Source organism: Homo sapiens, chromosome 4 (assembly GCF_000001405.40).
Source record: "Homo sapiens chromosome 4, GRCh38.p14 Primary Assembly".
NCBI classification, from domain to species: Eukaryota; Metazoa; Chordata; class Mammalia; order Primates; family Hominidae; genus Homo; species Homo sapiens.
The window spans coordinates 177,926,614-177,953,465 of record NC_000004.12 but is presented as its reverse complement, the minus strand read 5'-3'; the positions used below and the strand labels follow the sequence as shown (position 1 = coordinate 177,953,465).

The 26,852-nt window shown below is 33.2% G+C and overlaps 1 long non-coding RNA gene across 1 annotated transcript in view, besides 1 other annotated feature; it reads right to left on the bottom strand.

The window, feature by feature from the left end:
• LINC01098 (long intergenic non-protein coding RNA 1098) overlaps positions 1–26,852 on the bottom strand; it is a 261,994-nt gene that overhangs the window by 37,285 nt on the left and 197,857 nt on the right.
• Positions 799–968: an enhancer, noted in NCBI's record as "experimental_76370 CRE fragment used in MPRA reporter constructs". NCBI's record gives its function as "activates a minimal promoter by MPRAs in K562 erythroleukemia cells, with activity observed for the non-introgressed 4:178873737 variant allele {active_cell/tissue: K562}" and the evidence as "EXISTENCE:reporter gene assay evidence [ECO:0000049][PMID:34662402]".

The following is a 26,852-nucleotide window of genomic DNA, read 5'->3' as shown; positions in this document are numbered from 1 at the left end:
AAGTACAACAGCAAATTTCAGCATTATTCTTTCTTCCTAAATATACTAAGTTAACATTACCTTATAATTTGTTTGGTGTAAAAGGAGACCATGCAGCATAAAGAACTTGATTTCTTACAGTGTCTCCAAAATTCATGGAAATGTTTCCAAGCATGAATTCTCCGTAAAACAATATGCACAATGAATGTACATGTGTACGCTATGAGAAGCAAAGATGAGCAGTTACAGAGTTCATGACAAACTACACAACATGTAGGCCCGAGGCATGAAGTTTCTAATAAAATTGGATTTTTGTCTTTGAAAAATATCTATCTTACTGTAAACATCATTCATTACAGATACTTATAAAGATCTGGGCACGTAGAATATTTATGACAGATCGTGAAGATCTGTGAGGAGGAGAATGGAGATCTTTCTTTGTAAACTGTCCTCCTGAGCTCCCATACTGAAACTCCTCTTTTTCCAATGACCATTCTGAGGCTGACTTCCTGGCTGAATTCAGCAAATGTTTATTGAGTTCCCATAAAGTACAGGTGCTCTTTTAGTTACTGTGCATAGAGCAATGAACAAAACAGACCAACTTCCTGTCCATGTGGGCCAACATTCCAGTGGGGAAAGGCAGATAATAAACAGGAGAATGGGTTAATATATTAAAATTGCACAGCAGTAAGTGCTACATCAAAAAATTAAACTCAGAAGAAGTATTGAATGGGCTGGCATTGATATTTGAAAACATAGGCTAAAATTTTATTAATATCATGAATCCTTAAAGTATAAATATTTGCATTTGTGTACTTTCTCCACTCTCACTCTTTTAATCTCTGTAATTGGCCTTAATTTTTTGTAAAGATAATGTAAAGATGAGGGAAAAATACCTTGAAGAAAGCAAGCCTAGAGTATCTGGTTTTAGAGTCCACGCTTAAGCATGCTCCAGTTTACTTTGTGTGCACAACAGAAAGGGAAAACTGCTGCCCTCGTATAATCTCTCTCTGTGGGTTTTCATTCTAATAAAACATGTATTTTCATTTAGTAGACACATTATGGTTGGGGGATGTTCATACTCCTATTTTCCTGCCACAAAATAGTGAAGTACCCCATCAGTCGTCCAGTTGGCGTGGGTTCCTAAGAATGCTTTTTCAAAGTGCGGGTTGAGATCTGAGGCTCTATCTATTAGTCAAGTGGAAAGAATCCTCTAGAGTTAAATTATCCTCGTCCTCACTACTAAACAGACTGATTAAAGTGATTTTTCAGTTGGATAGTGCAACTGGGCTCTTTAGAGAATATTAACACACAAAGTGGGGAGGCTGAGCAATATTTCTTGTGAAATATAGCATGTGAAATGGTACACGTGCAATGCTGGTAAAAACAATTTCCTTAATAATATATACATTAAATACAAATATGTAGGATGCGTTAAAATCTATAGATTAGATTTACTAGATTTATATTTTAACTAATTCAATTCTGAATTTTGTAGGACTATGAGCTAATTCTTTCACTTTTACTTCATGGTTTGGTCCTCAGCTAGGCCCATGTTAATTATGTTCTAGCATTTTTTAAATTTTGTATGTCATATTTCAAGGAAGAAGGTATAAATTTATTTTTCATCAGAAAAAATACTAGCTTTTTTAAAAAAATTAAGGGCACTTAAAATTTTTAACCAATACATTTCTAACAATTTATGCAAAAATGAAAAGAAAAATGATATGAGCAAAAAACATGTGAATTCCTATGTTGAAACAATCTCTAGCCAGAATTCATAAAGATTTAGAGACTCAAGGATAGCAGAATGCAGTCCATAGATCTACAGAGTAAATCCGTGTGTGTGAGTGGCAGGTGTTGGGGGGTGGAGGGGAGGGCACGCGTAAGCCAGGGCAATTGGTGAATAACGCCTCATGAAAGCAAAAAAATATATATTTCCAGGTTTTTATTATTATGAAATTACATAACTGTAGTAGGCAGGGATATAAAAGATTAATCAGCCACACCAATTAATGCTCATTGTTTTCGATAAATTCTCACATAAGAACAGAAGGAAGATGTGTATAATAATACTTTTATCTTGAAGATTTACAGCACTTTTTATTGAAAAGTAATAAATATGTATCAGAAAAATATCAGGTGGAAAAGAAGACAAGAGAAATAGCTAAGGAAGACTGAATATATTTATATCATTTGAAAACAAACATATAAATTTTTGTGAATTAATTTTAACACATCGCAATTCTCACATTAGTGACGTCACCATTTTATCTTTGCTCCCCCATCAATGTAAACTGAGAGAAAACTGATAAAATTTTTATTCAGTGTTCACTGATGCTACTATACAGTTTCATTACTAGTCACTGAGGAGACTATTGCATCAAAGTTGCAGCTGAACATGCCCTGACACTAGAGCTAAAATTCAATTGCTTAAAAGCCAGTTGGATAAAAGTTGTGTTAGAGAAAGGCTTTATTTAGGGAAAAGGTATTAGGAAAGGCAAGAGAGATGGTGGGAGCAGAAATAATCACCTGAACATTGCTCAAGATTTATTTAAGGATCATCGATTTTTTTTTTTTTAAGGAACTCAAGACTGTAGCAATTACATCAGAAGACAGACCCACAAAGAGTGAACATTTCTGATCATCACAGTCCATAACAAATTAAAGGACTAATTTTATGCTGACCCTAAGGAAACCAATACATCAATTAGACAAAGTGGTTTCCTGGAGCAAATCTTCTCAATGTACTTTTTTTATTTCAGCAAGCTTGCAGGGCCCTATATTTATGTTTATCTAACCATGAGTCCTGGAAAGAGCAATTACGAATTCTATGGCTGGTCCTTTCTGAATGTACTCATTGACTCCTTTGTCTGAAGGCAAAATGGTTATTTATTGATTCTTTTATTCATCCATATTGCTGATAAAATTAAGCAGTGATTAATCTGCTTGGTCAAGTAGGTATCATGCTAAGTAATAAACATACTAATGTAAGTGAAAAAACTCTAGATACTACCTTCTAATAGGAAAGATAGGCAAATATTGATAGTATATTTTTAGAATGAAAAGGGTTAGACTTGCAATATAAATATACAAAGTGTGATGGGAACACCAGTTTGAATGCCTGATCCTATTATTTGTTTATTTTTGATAGAGCGTAGTGCCTCAGGAACATGGGCTCAGATCTATTTGTTTCTTCAAATCCATTTGATTTTCTACCTGTGAGGCCCAGACTGTAAGGAGAGTATTAGTACAACCGTATGAAAAGTGAGGAGAGGAATGCAATGTAAAAAAAAAAAAAGGAAGGGAAAAGAAGGGAAGGAAAAGAAAGGCAAGTAGTAATGAAAGGAAGGGAGAGGGAAGGAAAAGAGCAGGGTTGAAGAGAGGGAGAAAGAAAAGAAGGAAATAAATATAGATGCAACAGGTCTTCTAGGCAAAGGATTCTCAATGCTCTTCTTAAAATAATGATTACATGCTTGATGTCTACCAGGAATAAATATCATCTTATTACCAAAGCCCTTTTGGTAGACTTTTGGAAAAGGTAAACACTCATAATTTGCTTTCTTCTAGAAATTATGAGAGCAAATAAAAAGAAATTTTCAAAAGTAAAAATAATCTTATAAATTGATTAATCATGTGGAAGGCAAAATAGAACCATTGTTTACTTGATTCGTTTACTCATTTATATTGCTAATAAAAATTAATCAAGCAATGATTAATCGCTTGGTCAACAATCTGGAAAGGTGGGGGCATTCAATGTCCCTAATAATGTGTCAGGGTAAAATAAATTGACCCAGGTATAACTATCAGATATTCTATGTAGACAAGTACCCAATCTGAGTTTTGGAGTATGGATAAAGCTGTACTTCTCTACCCAGACAGGCATAAATGAAGTGCAGAGTTAAACCATTATCCAGTAAATTTGATGAACTAAAAAAAGCAACCTAAAAAATTCTACATTTTTTTTAGAGTTGTGGAGTATCCATAAAGCTGTACATCTTTGTACCCAGACAGGCGTAATGAAGTGCAGAGTTAAACAGTTATTCAGTAAATTTGATGGATTAAAGAGCAATCTACAAAATTCTACATTTTATTTTTTAATGAATTTTATTCATATAGGTCCAACAGTCTTTATTAGAGAGACTCAATAGTATCTCTACATCTGTATCTGTAGGTTATACTAAGGTGATCTTTAGAAATTACCGACTTGTAGACAGGGAGAAAAGTAACTATTTAGAATGTGTTCAGATCTCAAACTCTATTTTCACTTTGCCCTCCATATAGAAATGCTTTGAGTAAATATTTGCCCTTCTGAGTTACCAAGTTAATTATTTTTATAATGATCCAACTTCATTTTAATATCAAAGGTTTCTAAGCATCATATATTATAAAGTGGAGCACATCAGGTAGCTATTCAACTTTACAGCCTCTAATCCAACTGCAACTTTTGGCTATCCATTTCCACTATCTTTATAGCCTCCCTAAACTTAATTTATAGTCTTTTTCAAGGTTTCTTCAGGTGCTTCAGAGAGCTTTGACATCTAATCGGTTTTCCTTTTGAGAACGTGACTCTGCAGTCTCGGGGGATGGACATATTAGAGGTATTCAGGTCAACTGGTAGTTACGCTTGCCTTAATAATATTATATACCCAGAGAACTCCCATAAAACTTTTAGATTCTTGGTTTTATTTCTCCCTTCAGTGTTTTCTGACCCCTCCTCCAAGTCTATAATTTTATATTAGAAAAAAAGAATATGAGCTAGACAACCTGAACCAGAAATTTTTTAAAGTTAGCTTTCTTTTTAGAAAATACGAATTTGTCACGTAGTAACAATTTTACTAAACGCCATAATGGGCAGAATTAACATGTCTATCATTCCCTGTTATAAACGTTAATACTTGAATCTTAATTCTCAACTGCAAGATTCTATTAAAATGTTTTAAATGGAGTATTAAAAAACATCTCTAAAGTATGTTATTAAATTGCTTGCATCATTTTCAATTTCTACAAACTTTACAATGGAAAAAGATCCTTTGCCTATATTAGCAGACTTTTATTATCCAAAAGCCAGAGAATTTTAAAACATATAGAAGCATTGATTTGGGTTTTAGCTTTTGCTTCCATAGTACTCATGTCACCAAGAAAATTAATCTGGTGGCCTCTGACTAAATACATCACAGAACGAAGTGATTGGTAACTTCTCACAAAAGTAGCTGAAAAGTAAATAATAAAGGTCTTAACGTCAAAATGGAAATGCTTTCCAGATCATTCACATATTGTGTTTTCATATAGGCAGGATTCATACTGAGTTTTGAATATCCCATTGTCAAAATCAACTGACCAACCATTTTTCTAAACATGCTTGTGTCTTTAATTGCACTTAGTCTATAATCTTACCATAATCCAACAATAGGAAATTTAGTAAGACAAGAACAGAATCTTGGAATGTCGTTGGGGCTTTTGATTTTTTTTTTTCTCCTATTTGCAGGGTAAAAGAATACTGCAGCTAATCCAAGGAGAAAAATAAGTGTGATCTCAAGGGAATGCATTTTATTGATTATAGCAAAGAAGGGGGAGTAAGTTCAATTGGCTCTCACTACTTAGTCTTGACATAGATGCAACTTTGCTGAGAAGAAAATGAGTATGAGGTAATGCCATCATAAATAATTGCTTAAATCATCCCGGCACTATGGAAGCAGAAATTTTGTAAAGGGAGAAGGGGAAAGCACTGTAAATGTAAAAGCATGGTAAAGACAAGCTCTTAAGATAATTGAGGATTTTTCATTGAGTAGTAGCTTTACACAATATATGGCTTTAAATCCAAATTTGGAGTATCCTCTAGTTAATAACTGCAGATCAAAGCAGATTTTACATTTTTTTTTTACTACTAGCTTTAGTTACTACAAAAAGAATCAAAGGGGTTAATGGATTATATACAATTAAATAGCCTCCCATCCAATATTGTACAGTGACACAAGTAGGAAATCATGTTTGTTACAAATAGCCGAAAAGCTTTTAAATATATTTCTCCTACAAATATTGAAATCAATATCAACCTCTCTATTTAAAAAAGAAAAATCCAACAATGGATTTCATGAAGAACATTAAGATGTACAGTGGTCTAGTATAATTTCCAGGACTTATTCTTGCCTTTTGGGGGAAAGCTAATATTAAAGATGGAATGGAAAATGAAATGTCATAGGATGTACTCTGTGTCTATTTTTCCAAAATACTTGCTCACATCAGTAAAACTTCTACTGTGATTAAACCTAACTCAGCGTTTTCAAAGATTTTACTTCTTTTTAACTTGTAATTTAACAAAATGAACTATTAGATAATAATAGAAGTCAGGTACCCTGCTAAATGATTTACATCTATCATTTCTTTTAATCTTATGAAAAAAAAAACAGAGTAAGTATTATCATCTCTACTTTCTGGGGAGAGTAACCATAGCATGGAGAGGTTAAGCAGTTTGCATTAGCTCCCACAATCAGTAAATTGGAGGCAGCCATCACAAGGAAGTCAGCTTTGCTGGAGGCTCAAAATAGGGCCTTAGAGGAAGAAGCTCAGGATGGGATCTTTGGTGCCATCCGCCACCTGTATGACTTTTCTGATAAATGTGTTAACCTAGCTGTGTCTAAATTTCCTCTTCAGTAAATTGGAATAATAACCTCAAAGTATAGTTATGGGTATTAAATGTGTTAATATTGCTAAGACACTACAATACAGAGTGTTTGGTAAACAAATAAAAGGTCTAACTTTTCAAAATGAGATTTTCCTTTGTATCTAACAACACTATCCCATTACTAGATTCCTAGAGAGGTTTGTTTCTGTTAGATATGTCATCCATTAAATATGTATAGGAAGCAATTTGGAAAATTATGCCATGTGCAAAATTGGTCAATCTTTGGTGAAATGGAGCTTAGCTGAGAAATAGTCAACATAACTCATGAAAATAATTTTTTAAAAAATGGTTTTAATGCCTGAACCTGACAGGCCATCAACTATAAAGATACCTAACAAAGAAAGCCTGTTTGTTGTTGTTTTTTTTAAAGCAAGAAATAGTACTTTGGAATTTACTTAAGAAACTGCAAAAGTACCTATAAAATCCCTCATGAGAATGATTCTATTTAATAGATTATTAGTTCAAGTAATTCTTATTCAAAATATGATTTTCCACCAAAGATTACCAATAGTAGTTTCCATAGCTCCACTAACAATGTTTTTCAAAATGTTATATTTTGAATGAATGTTAATCTGACATTTATATAATGTCTTTTATTTGCAAATAGGACCTTATGCTTAAAAAAACTGAGAAAGGAAACCTAAGAATTATTCCAACCAAACATAGACATAAAATAAGATTGTTAAATGCAATCTACAAAAAATATTGCCATTAAATTAGATCTTTTCAAGTGTTTGTCCAGCAATGTATTTGGTGGCATTATGTAGTAACTACATTTTTCACTGTATAGTTAAAAAGCAAGAATACTTTACATAATACAAGTCTTTACAACATAGAAAGACTAAAGCTTAGGTCTTATTTTAATTCTCCAATTCTAGCCTAAGAAATGAGACTTTTAGTAATCCGTTTGATATTTTTCAATTTCCTTTGTCCATAGGTATAAATTTTATTAAATTACTTGTGCTAGGAATTCCCTTTTACATTTAATCATAGATTGGCATAGGAAGCAGTGCATCTTGTAAATATTTAAGAACATGAAATGAGAATGAACTTCTTACTTAATAGTGTTTCCACCAAGTAATAAAAGTATGATATATTGATAAATATAATGTACTAAGAAGATTACAGATATATTTCATTTTACTCAATAGATGCCTAAAAAGTTGTGTATAAATCACATCTTTTTCAAATTGAACCATAATATAAATAAAATGGAAGAATGTGCAGAGAACTCTGCTGTGCCCCTAACCTCCCTTTTTCTTTCTTAAAGAAAAAGGCAGGTGTTCCCTGGAGGACTCGCTGGTTCCTCTAGGTGAGAGAAGCACCAAAGCACACAGATAAAGAGCAGGGAACTTCAACCCAGTGCCTAAATGGAGAACGGTAAACTGATAGCTAGAGGATCACTGATCAAAAAGAACAGAAACTACTGTGCCCCCTGCCCCTCACAGGATTTCAGCCACTCAATAAATCCCAGTAGCAGAACTAGAGAAAAGTGAGGAGTTCAAGAAGACTGACAGACCTAAATGCACATAACCTGGACAGGAAAAGCAAGTGAAATACACAGAGCTGACAGAATCTAATGAAAAATAGTAAGAATAGACACTATTTGAACACCACTGCAATAACAACACAAAGAGGCCTCAGAAGGAATTTCAAGCTCAATACACACACACACTTTCTCTATCCCTCTTTTATTTCTAATTCTTAATAGTATTTATGAACTTAATTTTACAAAGAAGTATTGGAAAATTTGAAAAAAAAAAAAAGAAAAAAGACTAAGCTACTAAAAAGGCCTACAAATCAAACTAACCATGGCTTATTCACACCGAGTAAAAAGAAAATGTTAGAACAATATAATGTCTACAGACTAAGAAGAGGTAAGGACTCTAGGTTGCAAGTAGAGCTTCAAGTCAAATATCATTGTTATCAGGGAGGAAAAAAGATGCTTTTGGAAATACAAGGATTTGAAATATATCACTCATATGCCAAATGTAAGAAAAATATTCCAGGAATAATTATAAACAAAGCAGTAAATCCCAACCTATACGGGAAAATGAGAAGATAGTGAAGAGTGGTAAATTATTAAACTTTGAGTTGTTTATGGATATATAGAATAAATGACGATGTATAGCTTAAATATTACATAGAGATTTATGAAGAAATATACTCTAGGTTAAAAATGTAATAATTGCATGAAGTAAAAGTAAAAGCCATCTAAGATGTAGGAGCTTAAGTGGCTTTGAGATTATAGAAGTCATAGCAAAAGTGTCTTAAAAGTCTCACTGGAGGAGACAGGGAGCAGGGGAATAGAAGCATCTGGCACGTCCTATCTTATTAAGAGGGATAGAAAGAGAAAAAGTGGGGGTTAGAGAATTTTATATGATAATAGAGAAATATATGTTCATTTGTAAGTACTATGAAAAAGAAGTTACCTCTAATATAATGAAAGAATTCTTGAGAAATTTCAAATTAAAAAAGGACAACTCTATACCTGAAAAACAAGGAAGTCATGGAAAATTAAAAGAAAAAACTACAATAAACAGTAAACAAAAATATGATGAAAATGTCTAGTACTGTTATGCTAAATGGAAACGGTTATTCTATTACCAGAAAGAAGCCCTATTACAAGAAAGAAAGAACACTAAAATAAAGCATGAAAATTCTAAGTTATGTTCTTCAGTTCAAGAAGAAAACAAATCAAGATTGGAAATATTATCAGTCACAGTGGGATTTAATATTAAAACCATTAAGCAAAATAACACTCTAAAATTAACCTCTGGATCAATGCAAATGGGTCACCATGAAAGTTATAGCCAAGGGAAATTTTTTAACCTTAACGTTTTCATTATTTAGAGTGCTAAGAAGGGTAGTATATAGTGTTAAAATTCACAATTTAGGAAAGAGATTAAGTCAAAACCCTTTATGTGTCAAATAACAATAACTCTATAAAAAAACTATTCAAAGTGTGAATATACATTGACAAAATTATACTGGGAAATCTCAATAGGTATTTTTCAAAATTATATGATCAAGAGTTAAATAAGTAAGATAATGAAGAATTTAAGGACTATAACCAGTGAATTATTTTAATAGATTAATTCTTCAAATTGAGAATATATTTACACATCCATAAAACAAAATAAAAGCTAATTATGCATCTGTATACAATCTCTGATATTATTTAAATACATATGAATAAACGATGTCCTACATATTTAACCTAAATGGAACTTAAATTTTCACATCTAAAGTAGCCTTTATATAAAAACCAATGCATCGGTGAAATCTTTACCTTAAAAGAAGCATTTACTCTTGAATATTTTTATTATAAAAGGAAAAAGTACAAAGAAGAATTTATGAATTATATTAAGAATTGGAAAATGCATACTAAAATAAAAAAGAAGAGGTAAATACTAATAAAAATCTTAATAGACAAAATAGAAGACAGAAAAGGATTATATAAATTAATTCAGAAAACATTGAAAACAAAAACACCAAAAGCATGTGTATGGGAAAGAGAAACTTTTGGGAATTTAAAGAAAAAGAATGAGGGCCAGCAATATTATTTAACTTGATTTATCCATTCCCCAATGTATACATATATCAAAACGTGTACATCATATTTTTTTCAGGAAAAAAATAAGGTGGCTCACGCCTATAATACTAACACTCTGGGAGGCCGAGGTGGGAGAATTTCCTGAAGGCAGGAGTTTGAGACCAGCCAGGGCTATAAAGTGAGACCCTGGCTCTCAAAAAAAAAAAACAAAAAAACAAAAAAAACAATTAGCAGAACACGGAACATGGGTGTGCATACCTTTAGTCCCGACTACTCAGGAAGCTGAGATAGGAGGATCCCTTGAGCCCAGGAGTTCAAGGCTGCAGTGAACTATCATTGATTACACCACTATGCTCCAGCCTGAGTGACAGAAGAGAGATCCCATCTCTAAAAATAAAAGAAAAAAAAATAGAAAAGAAAAAGTAGACATGAGTTTAGGAAAGAGCACCTCCAAAGAAAGACAGGAGATAATTATTTGTCCAACTGTGGCAGAGCTTGGGAGGAAAGCAGAGGTGCCTGGTAAACAGGTAAAAATAGTTAAATTTTTGAATATGCTGTTAAAGGCCGGGAAAGCCTGAGACTGTAAACCCATGGGAAGTTTACATCCACAGACATGTTCTTCTTCAGAGATCTTTAATCAAAACTCACAAGAAAAATTAGGAAGAGGGCAAGAAATCGGAACAGCCAGAAATTGGGAAAAATTAGATGAGAAATAGATAGGTCTGAAGTCATGGTGGGAGAATTTTCTCATTTCTCTCAGTAACAAAAAGAAAAAAAATCATAAGAATACAGATCTGTAAATAACACGATTTAAAAATTTGACTTAAGTAGACCTAATAGTCATTGCCTTCTAAACATGGATCTGTATATCTAATGATCCTATAATTTTTCTCTGCAGACATGAGAAATGGATGCACATGTGTGTAAACAGGGTATACACAAGAATTTTATACAGCATTATAATATTGCAAAGTGAGAACTCATTCCAAATGTTGATCATCAGTGAAATAGACAAATTATGGTACATCTATACTATACGACCCTGAAAGTTAATGAAAAAGTGTTACACACAATAACATTTAGGAATATTTGAAACGAATATTCGAAATATGCCAGATACAAACGAATACCTAGTCTATGATTCCACTAAAATTTATGAAATAAAACTGTAGTATTTAAAAATGCATGTTCTCTTAAGTAAAACTGCAAGCCAAAGCAAAGTAATTCCCATGGAACTCAGGATACTGTTTGTTTAATTTTGGGAGGTAGGGTGTAGTGGTGAGGAAGCAGCATGATCTTTGGGTTTTGACCATGTTCTAGATCCCAACCTCGGTAGACATTACACAGGTCTTTGCGTGCGCTAACCCACTGAACAATATATTTTGTTTTATTCAATCATCTGTATATGTTCAAGCAATTAAGAATGGTTCTAACACTCAAAAACATTAAAAATGTTTCAACAAATAATAAATATGCTAAATATGGCAAAGTATTAAAAATTATTAAAGCTCCGTGATATATATAGGGGTTTGTTATATTATTCTCATCACATTTTTGTTTGAAAATGTCAACTAAAAAGTTTAAAATGAATTTAGAGTATAAAACAGGTAAAAATATATTATTTTCTCTCTGCCTTGTTTTATAGATTTTAATAATATTTACCAGACTTAAGGGCTGTCTTCTGTCTCTTCTAGTAGGGCATCTAAGCAGCCAAATTGGTAAAGGAGTTTTAAAGGGAAATAATGATATCTAACTACAGATTTGCCAAACAAAAATGTCCAAAAGCACATGGAATAACTAAATGAGTCCCTATCCCAGTCAGTTTTCTATAACCTTGAAATAGAGACTACAATTAGTTTTCAAATCTTGAAAGACTTTTTCTAGTAATGGAACCATTAAACATTTAAACAATACTTATCTTCCTAGTTTTGGGATTTAAAATTAACACCTAGTTTATATTGGTCCAGAGACTGCCATTTAATAAGCTGCTTTGGGTTCTAAGACATGTGCCTTGGAAATGACAAAAGTACAATCACTAATTCCCATTGCCAATAGATAAGGAAATCTAGAAAAATTTTTAGGAAATGGCTTTTATGTAAACTCGTAAATTCTTTCATTGTTTTCATTTTTAACAAACATACTTTCAATATAAAATTCAAATATTTCTAAAAACCAGTATGGCATTTCAGCTATTAAATCTTAGAACTTTTGAACTTCATCCTAAATGGAATTCGGAAATCTGTCTTATGGTAACTCAAAAATGAGTAGTGTTAGTCTTGCCACAGTAGATACTTCTCTGTAAAACATAAGCTTGGTGTAAGATGAAATACTTTTCTGTGTGTTCTTTAGGTCTCCTAACTAAACCACCTATAATCCTCTTCCTAAACTCTTCAATAACCTATCCCCAAATTACCATCCTCCATGCCATCCTCTCCAAAACACCCTATTTTTCCTTGGAAAAAATATTCCTGCTAGTAAGCCTCTGTTGTGTTTAATGTAGTTGTATATCTTGAATATCTTCTTAAATGGCCCAGCAGTCTCTACCCGTGTGGGTATGCATATCCACAAGTCTTTAGAATGTCTTAAGGGTGCCAATGATCCCTCTAATAGTAAATGCAAAATTGTATATGCATTTGATAGTTTCATTACTTTTCAAAACACGTCTGTGACCCCAGGAAGTTTAAAATACGTATATAAAAGGAGCATAGCTAAATTGTCTGAATTAATGTACAATGACTTTTACACATATCATTTAAAGATTCAAGACATTCTTCCCATAACCTACAATGCAAAAAATAAAAATAAAATAGAAAAAAATCATAATATTTCAATCTCTTCGCCTATAATACAGAAGAGGAAACACTACAATAGAGAAGCAAGATAAATGACTATTAAGTAAAATTGGATGACCCACGACCAGATAATAGTCATAGCAAAAAGGTGGAAAATTTCAAAGGTTCTGTGAATTCAAAATGACTAAAAACTATTCACATAAATGCAGAACTAAATTGCATGGATTAATCTGAAAGAACTTATCCACCAGATATGTCACATGGAAGTTGATGATGTTCTCTGTGCAACTTGCAATGAGAATGACTAAAATATAAAAGTATCTGAAAATATTTATTCTCTTCTTACAGACAAGAGAATATTAAAACAAGTTGAAAAGCAAAAATTTTAAATAAAATTTTATAAAGCATCACCAAATAACAATCCCACCAAAAGATTTGAAAATTGTCTTTTAGATGATATGTTTTGTTTTAGCCACGTAAACAGTTTAATCATATAAATGCATAGTCTTTAGGTGCCATATATGGTTCTCAATATCAAGAAAATTTCTTGAAATATATGCTTTTTATATGACAGCCTTTAATAAACAAGTTGCAGGCCAGGCACAGTGGCTCATGCCTGTAATCCCAGCACTTTGGGAGGCTGAGGCAGGTGGATCATGAGGTCAGGAGTTCAAGACCAGCCAGGCCAACATGGTGAAACCCCCATCTCTACTAAAAATACAAAAATTAGCTGGATGTGGTGGTGCATGCCTGTAATCCCAGCTACTCGGGAGGCTGAGGCAGGAGAATTCCTTGAACTGGGACACAGGAGGCAGAAGCAGCAGTGAGCGAGATCACGCCACTGCAATCCAGCTTGGGCTACAGAGCGAGACTCTGTCTCAAAAAAAAAAAAAAGTTGCTTTTCAAGGTGTAATACTCACCTTATACTACTGCACTGTTGCTAACTATATCGCACAAAGAGAATTGAACACCGTGCCTGTTATGAAGGTGCATTATGAGTAAGATGGCAGGAATTTTTTTAGAAGTGCTTGAGTAATCAATGAGAGAACAGACAGAATCTGCAGAAACTGAACTTCAATTATATAGTGAATATACAGAAAAATTTTAATTTTCTTGCTGCCAACTTTCATCAGTCTTCCAGGCAAAGAGAATATATGTTTGCTTTGATTCACAGCTTAAATAAAGCCTGTAATCATTTCTTACTGCAGCTCATTTCCCAATATGAACACTTTTACATTGATTTTTTTCATCTCTGCTTCTTTAAAAAAACACTCTTATCAATGACCACATTAGCTAAGTACATCTGTGTAATAAAAAAGAAGTTTACCAAACTTATAGCATGGAATTCAGGTAAACCATGAAAGAAAAAAAATCTAACATTTGATTCTCTTGTATTCTTGGAACAGCAAATAGATCACCATGTTCCAGTGATTGTTCCAATAGTAGTCATTTATTGAAGACATTTTTATAAATTATGTACAGTCACCTACCTGAGGAATTGGTGTTGAAAAGTAAAAACTATGGCTGTCTTCTAGCAATAAGAAAAGTTGGAACTTCCATTATTATTCCCATAATATAAACTTTAAGAAAATTGTACAATTCTTTTCTTCTACCAGTACTTCAAAATGTACAAACCCAAATAAATAAAGGGGAAATGGCATTAGGGACAGTTTTACACCATAACAGTGAATATATTTTCATAAGCTATCATTTTGCAGACATGAAAGGGACATGTTGATTTAAGCATATATATATATATATATATATATATATATATATGCAGTATATATATATTTAAGCACATATATGCTTAAATCAGCATATGTGGTGATGATATATATCATCACCATATATGTGGACCCTGCTTCCTACTCTCAGGGAGCTTATTCTATAGTAGAGGGCACAAGCATGAATTCATTGTGTGAGAAAATTGTTCCAGAAAACTGGAACATTGACCATTGCTACCAAAGATAGCTACAGCTTCCTCAACAGGGTGTTGACACAAAGCGATTGGCATGATCTGCTGACTGTTCTGACTCAACCCTGTCAATTAATAAGAAAACTGGGATCATAGCCAGACCTTCATATCCAACAACGGTGCTCTCAGGCATACGTGTTGATATATATATCACACTAGGTATATCACACTATATATATTATCACACTATATATATATAGTGTGATATACATAGTGTGACATATATATGTATATATGTATATAGTATATGTATATGTATATAGTGTGATATACATAGTGTGATATATAGTGTGATAGATATATATATCACTATCTGTACCACACTATATATATATATATACACACACACATATACATATATACATATACACACACACACACACATATATATATATACGCATATATATATAAAATATCACCATCAGGAGAAAAATTTACTTCATGTTTATCCATGGCTGCAAGGATAGCCAATGTTCCAGTTTTACATTTTCTCTTACAGTTGATTCATGCTTGTGCCCTCTACTATAGAATAATATATAATCTATAGCTATAGAATAAGCTCCCCGAGAGCAGGAAGCAGGGTCAACATTTTGTTGTTCACTATCGCGTCTCCAGGGACCAGCATGAGAGGGAGGAATGGCAGCAGAGACACAAGAGAGATGAAGAAATCAGAAAAACAAGCCTGAAAAAGAGGAGAAAAAATCTAATTTAATGGTAATAGTTTATAAATTTTAACAGTAAAAATTTTTACAAAGATTTATATGAGTTTTATGAGACCTTCACTAAAGAGAAACAGTAAGCTTAATGCTTTATATTACTTAGTTCTCTAGTACAATTTTAAATAAATTTAAATCTTATAATAATTTTAACTTAAAACTTAATTTTCTTCTTCAGAAAATGCTTTAAATGAAATAAATATATTTTTATCAAATACCCTGCCTTCAGAACTTTCTCTCAATCATTTAAGATTATTGTTCAAATTTTCTACCCATTAATCTTTTGAAGTTGAACAAGATTGCTTCTTTTTTGGTCCAGCCTTCTGATTCCAAACTCAAAATGTTTCTCTGTAGTTACATCCTGAATAAACCCGATATTTTTTAATTCAAAGAGGCAGGAAAAGGAAACTTCTAACAAGAACTGGGAGGTGATTAACTGGAGTCGCGGCCACCTAGCATGGCCTGGGACACACCTCTCCTCTGCTTCCTGCGGCTTTTCATTAATATTGTACCAAGTTCAGCAAGAATCAGACTTGCTGGTAACAGGTTAACAGGCTCCCACAGAGAAAAAGCATCTATTCAGCTGTCAGGTGCATAACAGCAGGTTGCAAGTTAAGTTATTGCGATCTTTCCTAACACCCTCTTTCTTCCCACCAAGCCACACACAGGCCCCTGATGACACTGAAAGAGAATATTTTCTTTATAGTGAAAAACCATTTACCTGAGTTCTCTCAGAAAGAGTCCAATTACCCTATGAGCATCCAAAATATTCTACACAGGCACCGTCCTGCACAGAAGAGACTTTCTGAACTGAGCTTCCTGTGGCAGTATAAATACCAAGCACAAAGACATATGAAGACATGTATTTTAATGTGCCAAATTGTCATTGTGATGGGAGTTTCCTGTGTGTGCAGACTGTAATATATGATCAACAGAGGGTTGAGAAAAGTGGAAAAGCAAAGTCAAACACAGTTGTTTGAAGCTTCCTTGAGAAAGCATTATTTGGGAAGTCATAAGAACGTCTGACAACTTATACAAAGGCATATTTCAACCTTCTCATATACTCTCATCTCATTTACATAATAGCCATTTTATTACTGTTATCCAATTTTGAGAGTTGAAACCTCTAATTTCATGATTTCATAGATAATTATGGAAGAACTGTGAGCCAAATTCTGATCTTCTGTGTTAAGGCCAGTGTAAGTTTTATGTGGTCTTTTCTTACTTGCATTCCACAACCTCTCACCCCTTTCTTTTTCTAGCACAAGATAGTTACAAATTTTGAGGGTTCTTAAGCTTATTCTTTCATTTTTACTCTGGGACAAAACAACATGTATCAGAAAGCAGGAACTTATCGAAAAATTAGGCATTGTGGCCAGCCAAATTAAATTTTGGTCCCTGATTACATCCAGGCTATTAAGATCTTTTCTGAGTGTTCTTGTCCCTATTAATTTTTTGTCTAAATCGGGGACTATAGTTCTTAACTATGAGTAAATTCTTTGTATCTGAAGCAAGAAAAGACTTTAGCCACTGTGCTGAGTAAACAATCTGTTTGATATAATACCATCATAAATACATTTAAATTAAATTACCTAAACTGCCTTAATGTTTCCATTTTTAGTCCCCAGACTATCTTTGTGAAAAACACTTCAAGTGCAACAATGCTCACAATATGCTTGTTATTACCAACGTTAAAAATCCTTATCCAGTAATGAAAGTTTACATTGCTTCTGTTTGCTAAAAAAAAATAACACAAATTGAATATTTTTGTTTATGTAAATGTAAATGTGCATTGTTATTACTGGTTTCAATGATGAAAAGAACAATTACAATAACTTTTTATTTAAGGAATGGTGAGCCCTTACAACGCCCATAAAAAGAATTAATTTTGTGTTTGTTACTATTACTAAAACTGTCCTTATTTAAAATTTTCCAATTAAAAGGAGATTTTGTTTGAAATGTTGTTTTATATAACTTCACAACAACCAGAACTGCATTATTTAGCATTTTAAAATTGAATCAGAAACTGAGCTTCTCTTGTTAATGAAGATCCTAAAGCTTCACAAGATTTGTGCACCAACTAAATCATTAAAAGAAAAAAAAAAGCTAAAATTGATTAGTGCCATGACATTAGCAGGGGCAGCAGAGGAAGGACTTCCAAAAATCGATTCCTCCATGAAAACAATCAGAACACTGAAAAAATTGTCAAAATCAATTTTATCACAACTCTGAAGGCTAACCAAGGCTTTCAATAAACTGAGAAGTGTTTATTCAAGAAAAATGGCTAAACAACAAACACTGTGGTGTTTTAACATGCTCTATTTCCATCTTCCTATCCCCAGCTACGTGGTAGCCTTGAAAATCAACAGCCCTGCAATTACTGTAGTCATAAAACCAGCAGCCTAGTAGCTACCAGAGGGGGAACAAACACACATTGGGAACTATCCAGACACCCCCTTTGCAGTGCATTATGATCATCTGAACTGTCTGACAGTTCCCCAAATCATCCAGAAACAGGGCTTATCTTTATTTGACCTAACTCAAAGCTTTTCTCACAGCAACCAGATTTTTCCTTGGGGCAGTTGCCAAAAACAATTAACAGCAAATGTCTGAGAAACAAACAAACAGTAAAAGAAGGAAGCATAGACAGAGCTTCAGATACCTGTGGAAAATGATCAAGTAGACCAACATACAGTTAATTGGAGTCCCAGAAATAAGGAAAACAAAAAGAGGCACAATGAATACTTCGATAAATGATGTACAAAAACTCTCTAAATTTGAAGAAAAACATTCATTAACCAACACATTCAAAAAATTTGACTCCAAGTAAGATAAACTCAAATATATATATATGTGTGTGTGTGTAATTCGTTTACATCTCTGTAATTGAGATAGCTACATAAAGAAAAAATTACTGAACTGTATTGATATACAAATAATATACAAAGATGCAATTTTACAATGAAAACATGGAGGAAGAAATAAAAGTATATAGAAGTGAAGATCCATAGATTTTTAAATTGTTGTTAATCTGAACTAGATGATTATATATTAAGCTGTTAATTCTAATCCATAGGGCAACCAGTAAGAAAATAACTCAAAAATATATAAGAGAATTGACAAGGAAATTAAAATTGTACACAAGAAAATATCTGCTTAACACACGTACAAAAAGATGGTAATTGAGAAACAGAGGAATAAACACACAAAGAAAGGAGACATACACTGTACAAATAACAAAGTAGAAAAGGTAATTCCTCCCCTATCAGTAAACATACTAAATGCAAAGTTATCTAACACTTCAATTAAAAGCACAGATTAACAGAATGTATTTTTAAAAAGATTAAACTCTGTGGTGCCTACAGCAGATATACTTTAGACTCGAGACCAAAAAAAGGTTGAAAATAATAAAGGTATAACACACAAACTAATATTTGACAAAATAGACTTTGAAGCCAAAATTGTTACTAGAGACAAAATACTTTTTTTTTTTTTTTTTTTTTTTTTTAAGATGGAGTTTCGCTCTTGTTGCCCAGGCTGGAGTGCAGTGGGGTGATCTCGGCTCACCACAACCTCCACCTCCCAGGGTTCAAGCGATTTTTCTGACTCAGCCTCCCAAGTAGCTGGGATTACAGGCATGCACCACCACGCCCAACTAATTTTCTATTTTTAGTAGAGACAGGGTTTCTCCATGTTGGTCAGGCTGGTCTCAAATTCCCAACCTCAGGTGATCCTCCTGCCTTGGCCTCCCAAAGTGCTGGGATTACAGGCATGAGCCACCTCGTCCAGCCTGCAAAATACGTTTTATATTGATTAAGGAAAGAAGGAAAGAAAAGAGGAAGGAAGGAAAGACTCAGTAAGAATATGTAGAGGCTTCAATTACCCAGTATCAATAAAGAATAAAACAACTAGATAGAAGATCAGCAAGGATATAGGAAGCCTGAACAATGCTATAAACCAACTTCCCCTAACACACAGCTATGGAGCACTCTGCCAACAGAAAAATACACATTATTCTCAAGTGGACATGAAACATTCTCCAGGATAGACCATATGCTAAGCCATAAAACAAATCTGAATAAACTTACAAGGACTGAAATCATACAATATATATTTTCCAACATAATGGAATGAAGTTAAAGTTAATAATGGAAAGACATTGGGAAATTTAGAAATACGTGGAAATTATAGAAAACATTTCTAATGGGTCAAGAAATAATTCACAAGAAAAAATAGAAATATTTACAAATGAAAGAAAATGAAAGCAACATACCAAAACGTATGGAATACAGCTAAAGCAGGACTCAGAACAAATTTATAGCTGTAAATGTCTATATTAAAAAATAGAAAAGATTTCAAATCAATAAGCTAGTTTTCTAACTTATGAAATTACAAAATAACAACAACCTAAACAAAAAGCAAGAAGAAGGAAATAATAAAGATTAGAGTGAAAATAACTGAAATAAACAGAGAAAAATAAATGAAATGTTATTCCTTTGAATAGATCAATAAAATTTAGAAATATTTAGCTAGACTGAGCTTAAAAAAAAAGAGATGGCTCAAGTTACTAAAATCAGCAATCAAAGAGAGAAAAAGGATTATCAGAGAATAATATGAACAACTGTGTGCCAATAAATTAGATTGCCTAGAAGAAGTGGCTGGAACTGACTCAAGAAGAAATAAATTCTAATTAGATTCATACCAGAAAATGTATTGTACTAGTTATCAAGAACCTTTCCATAAAAGAAGGCCTAGAATTAAATGGCTTCTCTGGTGAAATCTAGCAAACAGTTACACAAAAATTAACACCAATCCTTCACAAACTATTTCGAAAATAGAATAGAAGGAAACATTTTCTCAACTCATTTTAAGAGTTCAATATTATCCTTATAACAAAACAAAGCAAAAACTGCAGACCAATATCTTTTATGTATATAAACTCAAAAGCCTTCAACAAAATAATGGCAAAATTTAAAACCACTCAAAGACATTATAAGGAAAAAGACAAATGAGCAAGAACTACACACCAATATCTCTTATGAATATAGACTCAAAAGCCTTCAACAAAACACTAGCAAGTCAAATTCAGTAGCATTTTAAAACATTGTACACCACAACTAACTGAGAGTTATTCCAGGGCTTCAAGGTTCATTCAGCCTATGAAAATCATTCAATATAATACACAATATTTATAGAATAAGGAAGAAAACGTAATTGTCACTTAGATGCAAAGTTCAATACACTTTCATGATTAAAAAAAAACCTCCTATCTAACAAAATTCAATACCCTTTCATGTTTAAAAAAAAAAAAAAACAAGACAAAGTAGAAATAAAAGAGAAATTTCTCACCTAATAAAGGGCATCTATTTTAAAAACAAAACAAAAAAACTGCAGGTGACATTACAAATAATACAAAAAAAAGGTAAAATACTGATAGTCTCCCCTTAAGAATATAAACAAGGTGAGCACGTACACCCTTGTCACTGCTATTCATCGTAACGTGGGTGGTTCTAGCCAGAGCATTTAGTCACATAGAAAGGAAGAAAGAGAAACTATCTCTTTTAAGACATGATATAATCTTGAATATGAAATCCAAAGGAATCCACCAAAAAAAGAGAGAAAAAAACTCTTAGAACTAATATATCAGTTTATCAAGATTACAGAATACAAGAATAATAAAAATTTATTTTTGTTTATTCATACTAGTGTATAGTGTTTCTATATACTAGCAATGGATGATCAAAAAATGATTTGTTTGACTAAACAAATTTATTCATGACATCAAAAAGAATAAAATACTTAGGAATACATTTATCAAAAGAAGTGCAAATCTTACACATTTATACTGTAAAATTCTTTTCAAAAACAATTAAAGAACTAAATAAATGGAGAGGTATCCCATGTTAATGGATTGGGAGACGTAATATTGTAAAGGTGGCAATACAACTTAAATCAACAGATTCAACGTAATCTCTAATAAGATCTCGACTGGCTATTTTATTTTCTTGTAGAAAATAAAGCAGATCCTAAAATTTACATGGAAATGGAATAAAAAATAGTCAGAAACTAAAAGAAAGAACTAAATTGAAAGACTCAAACTTTCCAATTCATAACTTAGCGTACAGCTAGAGTAATTAAGACAGTATAGTACTGGCATAAAGAGAGACAAATATATCAAAGGAGTAGAATTAAGAAGATATAAATTCTTACATTACTATCGGTTGAATTTTGACAAGGTTGCCAAGATAATTAAATGAGGAAAGACAACCTATTGTCGCAACAATTGGATAACCACATGCAAAAGAGGAAAATTGGACCTCTATATAGCACATGACATACAAACTAACTCAAAATAGATCAAAGACCTCACTGTAAGAGCTAAAAATTAAGATTTTTAGGAAATATACACATAAATCTCTGTGACGTTAGATTTGGCAATGATTTCTTAACTGTGACATCAAAACCGGAAGAAAAAAATGGATAAATTGGACTACATTTAAATTAAATATTTTTGCTTCAAAGGGCTTCATCAAGAAAGTGAAATAACTCACAGAAAGGGAACTGAGTGAAAACCCAATTAACAGAACCCTATTTAAAAATGGGCAAAAAATCATGAATAGACTTTTCTTTAATAAGAAGCGCAAATGGCCAGTAACTTGTGACGAAAAGATATTCAACATCATTAGTAATTAGAGATACTCAAATCAAAATTACAACCATTCTGCACCCACTAGGATGACTATAATCCAAAGGAAGGACAATAACAAGTTTTAGTGAGTATGTGGAAAAATTGGAACCCTTATGTAGTGCTGGTGGCAATGTAATATGTTTCAGACACTTTGATAAACAATTTGGCATTTTCTCAAAATGTTAAACATATTTATCATAGAACCCAGGATTCCACTCTTAGGTATTGAAAACATTTAAAACATGTCCATACAAAAGTATACAAGGCTGTTTACAGCGACAATATAAAAGCCTTACAAAGTTGAGAAAAAATAAATTTTTAACAATTAAATGGCAAAAAAAGGTATATCTGCATTATTCAGCCATAAAAACTAATGAGGTACTGTTACATACTACAACATGGATGAACCTTGTAAACATTCTGTTGCATGAAAGAGGTCAGATGTAGAGGCCACATGCTCTGTGATTTCATTCAAAAGTCTCAACTGGGCAAATCCATAAAGACAGAAAGTAGATTAGTGTTTTTCAGGGACTGGAGGGAGAGTGAATTGAGTAGCAGATGCCAATGGGTATGAGGTTACTTTGGAGGGTGATAAAAATATTCTGCAATTAGACAGTGATGATGTTTGCACACATTTGTAGATATATTAAAAACCTTTGTACATTTTACATAGGTGAATTTTATGGTATGAATTTATTCTGCAATTAGATAGTGATGATGTTTGCACACATTGGTAGATATATTAAAAACCTTTGTACATTTTACATAGGTGAATTTTATGGTACGAATTATATCTCAATTTTTAAAAAGTCAGTCCAGCTTTAGTGTTGGGCTTATTTTTATCATCATTTTAAAAAATTTAACCCATAATTGAATATGCAATAAATATTAACCAAACATATGTAAGGTATTGTATGATACACCTTGGATACAAAGTAAAAAAGATTTAGTAAAGTCTATTAAAATATGTTGCTGTCAGCCAGGGTAATGGTACTTCACCTAGCCAGGTAATCAAGGAGTTTCTTTGTCCATGTCCCTAATCATGATAGCTTTTATTTTAGAATGCTCGTGATAGCAAAATCTTCTAGTGCACATGCTCTTCTACAGTGCAATTTGTTCTCGTTTATGTGGGGTTTACATGGTTTTGAGACTGAAAGTCACACATTCTTAAAGCCTGACTGTGGACTACAAACGAATCTTTTGCTCTGTACCCTGCTTGAATTTCAGACCCACGCAGTCTGTGAGCTTAATGGCTATTTTCCCACCACATCTGGGGGGTGGCTTGTTAATTACCAATAGCAAACGGGACACCAGGTACCTTGCCTGCTTTCCTGTTGACCCTGGGTTTGTTTCTACAGGCACAGTGCCTCTCTTGCTCCAGTACCATGACCTGTGGTCCACTTTGCTTTACATCTTTGAGTTCTCTGCCTAATTATTGGTCTTTCTCTCCACTGCCCCATTTAAATACATTGATGTGACAGCATTGAATTAATGTTTGTCATTTCATATTTATCAAATTCAGTTTGTTCAGACCTTTTTACAGCTAGTGTAAAAGGAGGCTCAGATAACTTTAAATCATGTAGAGATTGTGCTTAAACTCTCTACCTGTGATACTGAAGGAAAAATATATACATAGACTACTTAATTCTAACTCTCTAAAAGTGGCAATGGTCTTCTTTTCTTTTCTTTTTTTTTTTTTTTGAGACAGAGTCTCGCTCTGGCCCAGGCTGGAGTGCAGTGGCGCGATCTCGGCTCACTGCAAGCTCCGCCTGACCAGTTCACGCCATTCTCCTGCCTCAGCCTCCCAAATAGCTGGGACTACAGGCGAATGGTTTTCTTTAATGTTTGTCTTTTGGAGTACTCACTTCTGATATCAAAGACAAATTGTTTGCCCTTAATTTCTTCACAATTTTTAAAGTGTTAGTCTTGGGTAGTTATTTGTCTTTACAAAAAATTATGGTTTACCTAAATATGTATACGTACATTTAACTTTAAGACACAAAAATGAAAACGCTTCATGACGTTTTTATTATTATTGTAATCCATGATAACAGCTATTTTTATATGAGTTTATGGTAAAATGTGTATTATATCTTTAAGGAAATTATCAAAAATATTACAGAAACAATCATATTGGTAAAAGTTTATTCTGATCCTTACAGCATGATTCCGCATCTTGAAACCCGAGCAGAAAAAGCAAAAATAGTGTAAAATATTTCTTTTTTTTTTTTTTTTTGCTGATTCTGATCCTTACAGCATGATTCTGCATCATGAAACCCGAGCAGAAAAAGCAAAACTATTGTAAAATATTTCTTTTTTCTTTTCTTTTTTTTTTTTTTTTTTTTTTTTTGAGACAGAGTCTTGCTCTGTCTGGAGTGCAGTGACGCGATCTCGGCTCACTGCAAGCTCCGCCTCCTGGGTTCACGCTGTTCTCCTGCCTCAGCCTCCCGAGTAGCTGGGACTACAGCCCGCCACCATGCCCAGCTAAATTTTTTTGTATTTTTACCAGAGACGGGGTTTCACCATGTTAGCCAGGATGGTCTCGATCTCCTGACCTCTTGATCCACCTGCCTCGGCCTCCCAAAGTACTGGGATTACAGGCGTGAGCCACCGCGCCCGGCCAAAATATTTCTTGAAAGTTTTTTTTTTTTTTTTTCTGTAAGAATAAATTTATTTTCTTTATAATTACTCAGCATATGGTAATCAGTTATAGCAACAGAAAACAGATTTATGCAGGCATAAGAGGCTTTTATTCTCCCACATGACGCTCTCAGGGAAATGTTTTCTAACAGTGTCATAAACCCTTGTTTTGTTCTAACCAGGTAGGTTGTTTGAACTTTGCATACTGCAGGCATGTTACCTGGGACTTATACTTCAAAATCTATTCCAGCCTCATAGAATTCTGCACTGCCCAACATTTTTACAGTGATTTCTGCCAGAATGTTGGAAACACGAGAGAACAAAAGGACCATATGAGCAAAAGTACATACTTGAAAATTCTCTTGCTGGAAACAGAGAGGTAGAAAACACTTGTCTATTTTTTCCTAAGTAGCTAATTTTGTTTTCGTTTTTTGTTTTCTTTTGTATTTTTTTTAATGCCATAAGGTCTTTCGTTTTTCATGGCTGCATTCTTGTTTGTATAGTCAAACAAATTACTGTTCTCAAAAACATGAAGCAAAAAGGAAGGTATCAACCTCCTTTGAGGATTTTGCAATAGTTATACCTAGGTAAATATGTGACTATCTTACTAGTGACCAAAGTTGAGTCCTTTCTTTACTACTTATCAACTTTCTTTCTATTTTAGGTAGATTATTTTCATGAGTAAAATAAGAATAAAATCTGTATCTACTAAGTAGTGTCCAGTTTTTAAAATGGAATAAATGCTCAATCCATCTTAGTCAATTTATAATTTTATTATTAAGCCAAAGATAAGTAACATTATTAGGTATTAGAAGACTTATTTTAAAAAAGGATACATGAATTCATAATGTTTAAAGTTTGCAACATATTACCTTCTTAAACTTTAAAGCTCAGTTTGTCTATTTATACTTAATATCATTTGAAAGAGTTGCCTGGTAAAATTAGTGAAGATAGGCTGGGTGTGGTGGCTCCTGCCTTTAATCCCAGCATTTTGGGAGGCGGAGGCGGGCAGATCATGAGGTCAGGAGTCCGAGACCAGCCTGGCCAACATGGTGAAACCCCATCTCTACTAAAAACACAAAACTTACCCCAGCATGGTGGCGCTTGCCTGTAATCCCAGCTACTCGGGAGGCTGAGGCAAGAGAATTGCTTGAATCTGGGAGGCAAAGGTTGCAGCGAGCTGAGATCGCACCATTGCACTCCAGCCTGGGCGACAGAGCGAGACTCTGTCTCAAATAAATAAATAAATAAATATAAATAAACAAATAAATAAATAAAGTGTAATCAATTATTTCTAACACTTGCTATTAAAACATCCTTTGTCCTTGATTTCAAACAGCTCATTCTTATTATTTTTGTTACTTTCATTCTATTTCTATTTTTCCTTGTACATCTGGTTTTACTTTCAGGTCAATGTGTCTGAGCAATAATTTTCTTTTCCCCAAATCAATATCACCCCCAGACTATCCTTTTCTCTCTCCCTCCTCACCCTTTCTCTCTTCCTCTTGTCACACAAAAATCAACCTATCACTCTTTCAGAGGATACATCTGTCTGGTTGCCATATATACTCAAAGGCATATTGTATTTGATCAATATAGTGTTTTTAATTAGTTTATTCGTTTTCACTGGTAGATGTTTCATAGGTTCATCAACTTATATTATTTCCTCAGTTTATTAGTTTTAATTTCTAGAGGAAGATATTTGCTATGACAGGAGTTGGTAGCATTGTTTCAATATCTATGTAATAGTCTTGCCCAATCAATAAGAGCTCTTTCAAGAATAATTCCTGGCAGACCTGTTTCAGGAACAAGAATGTG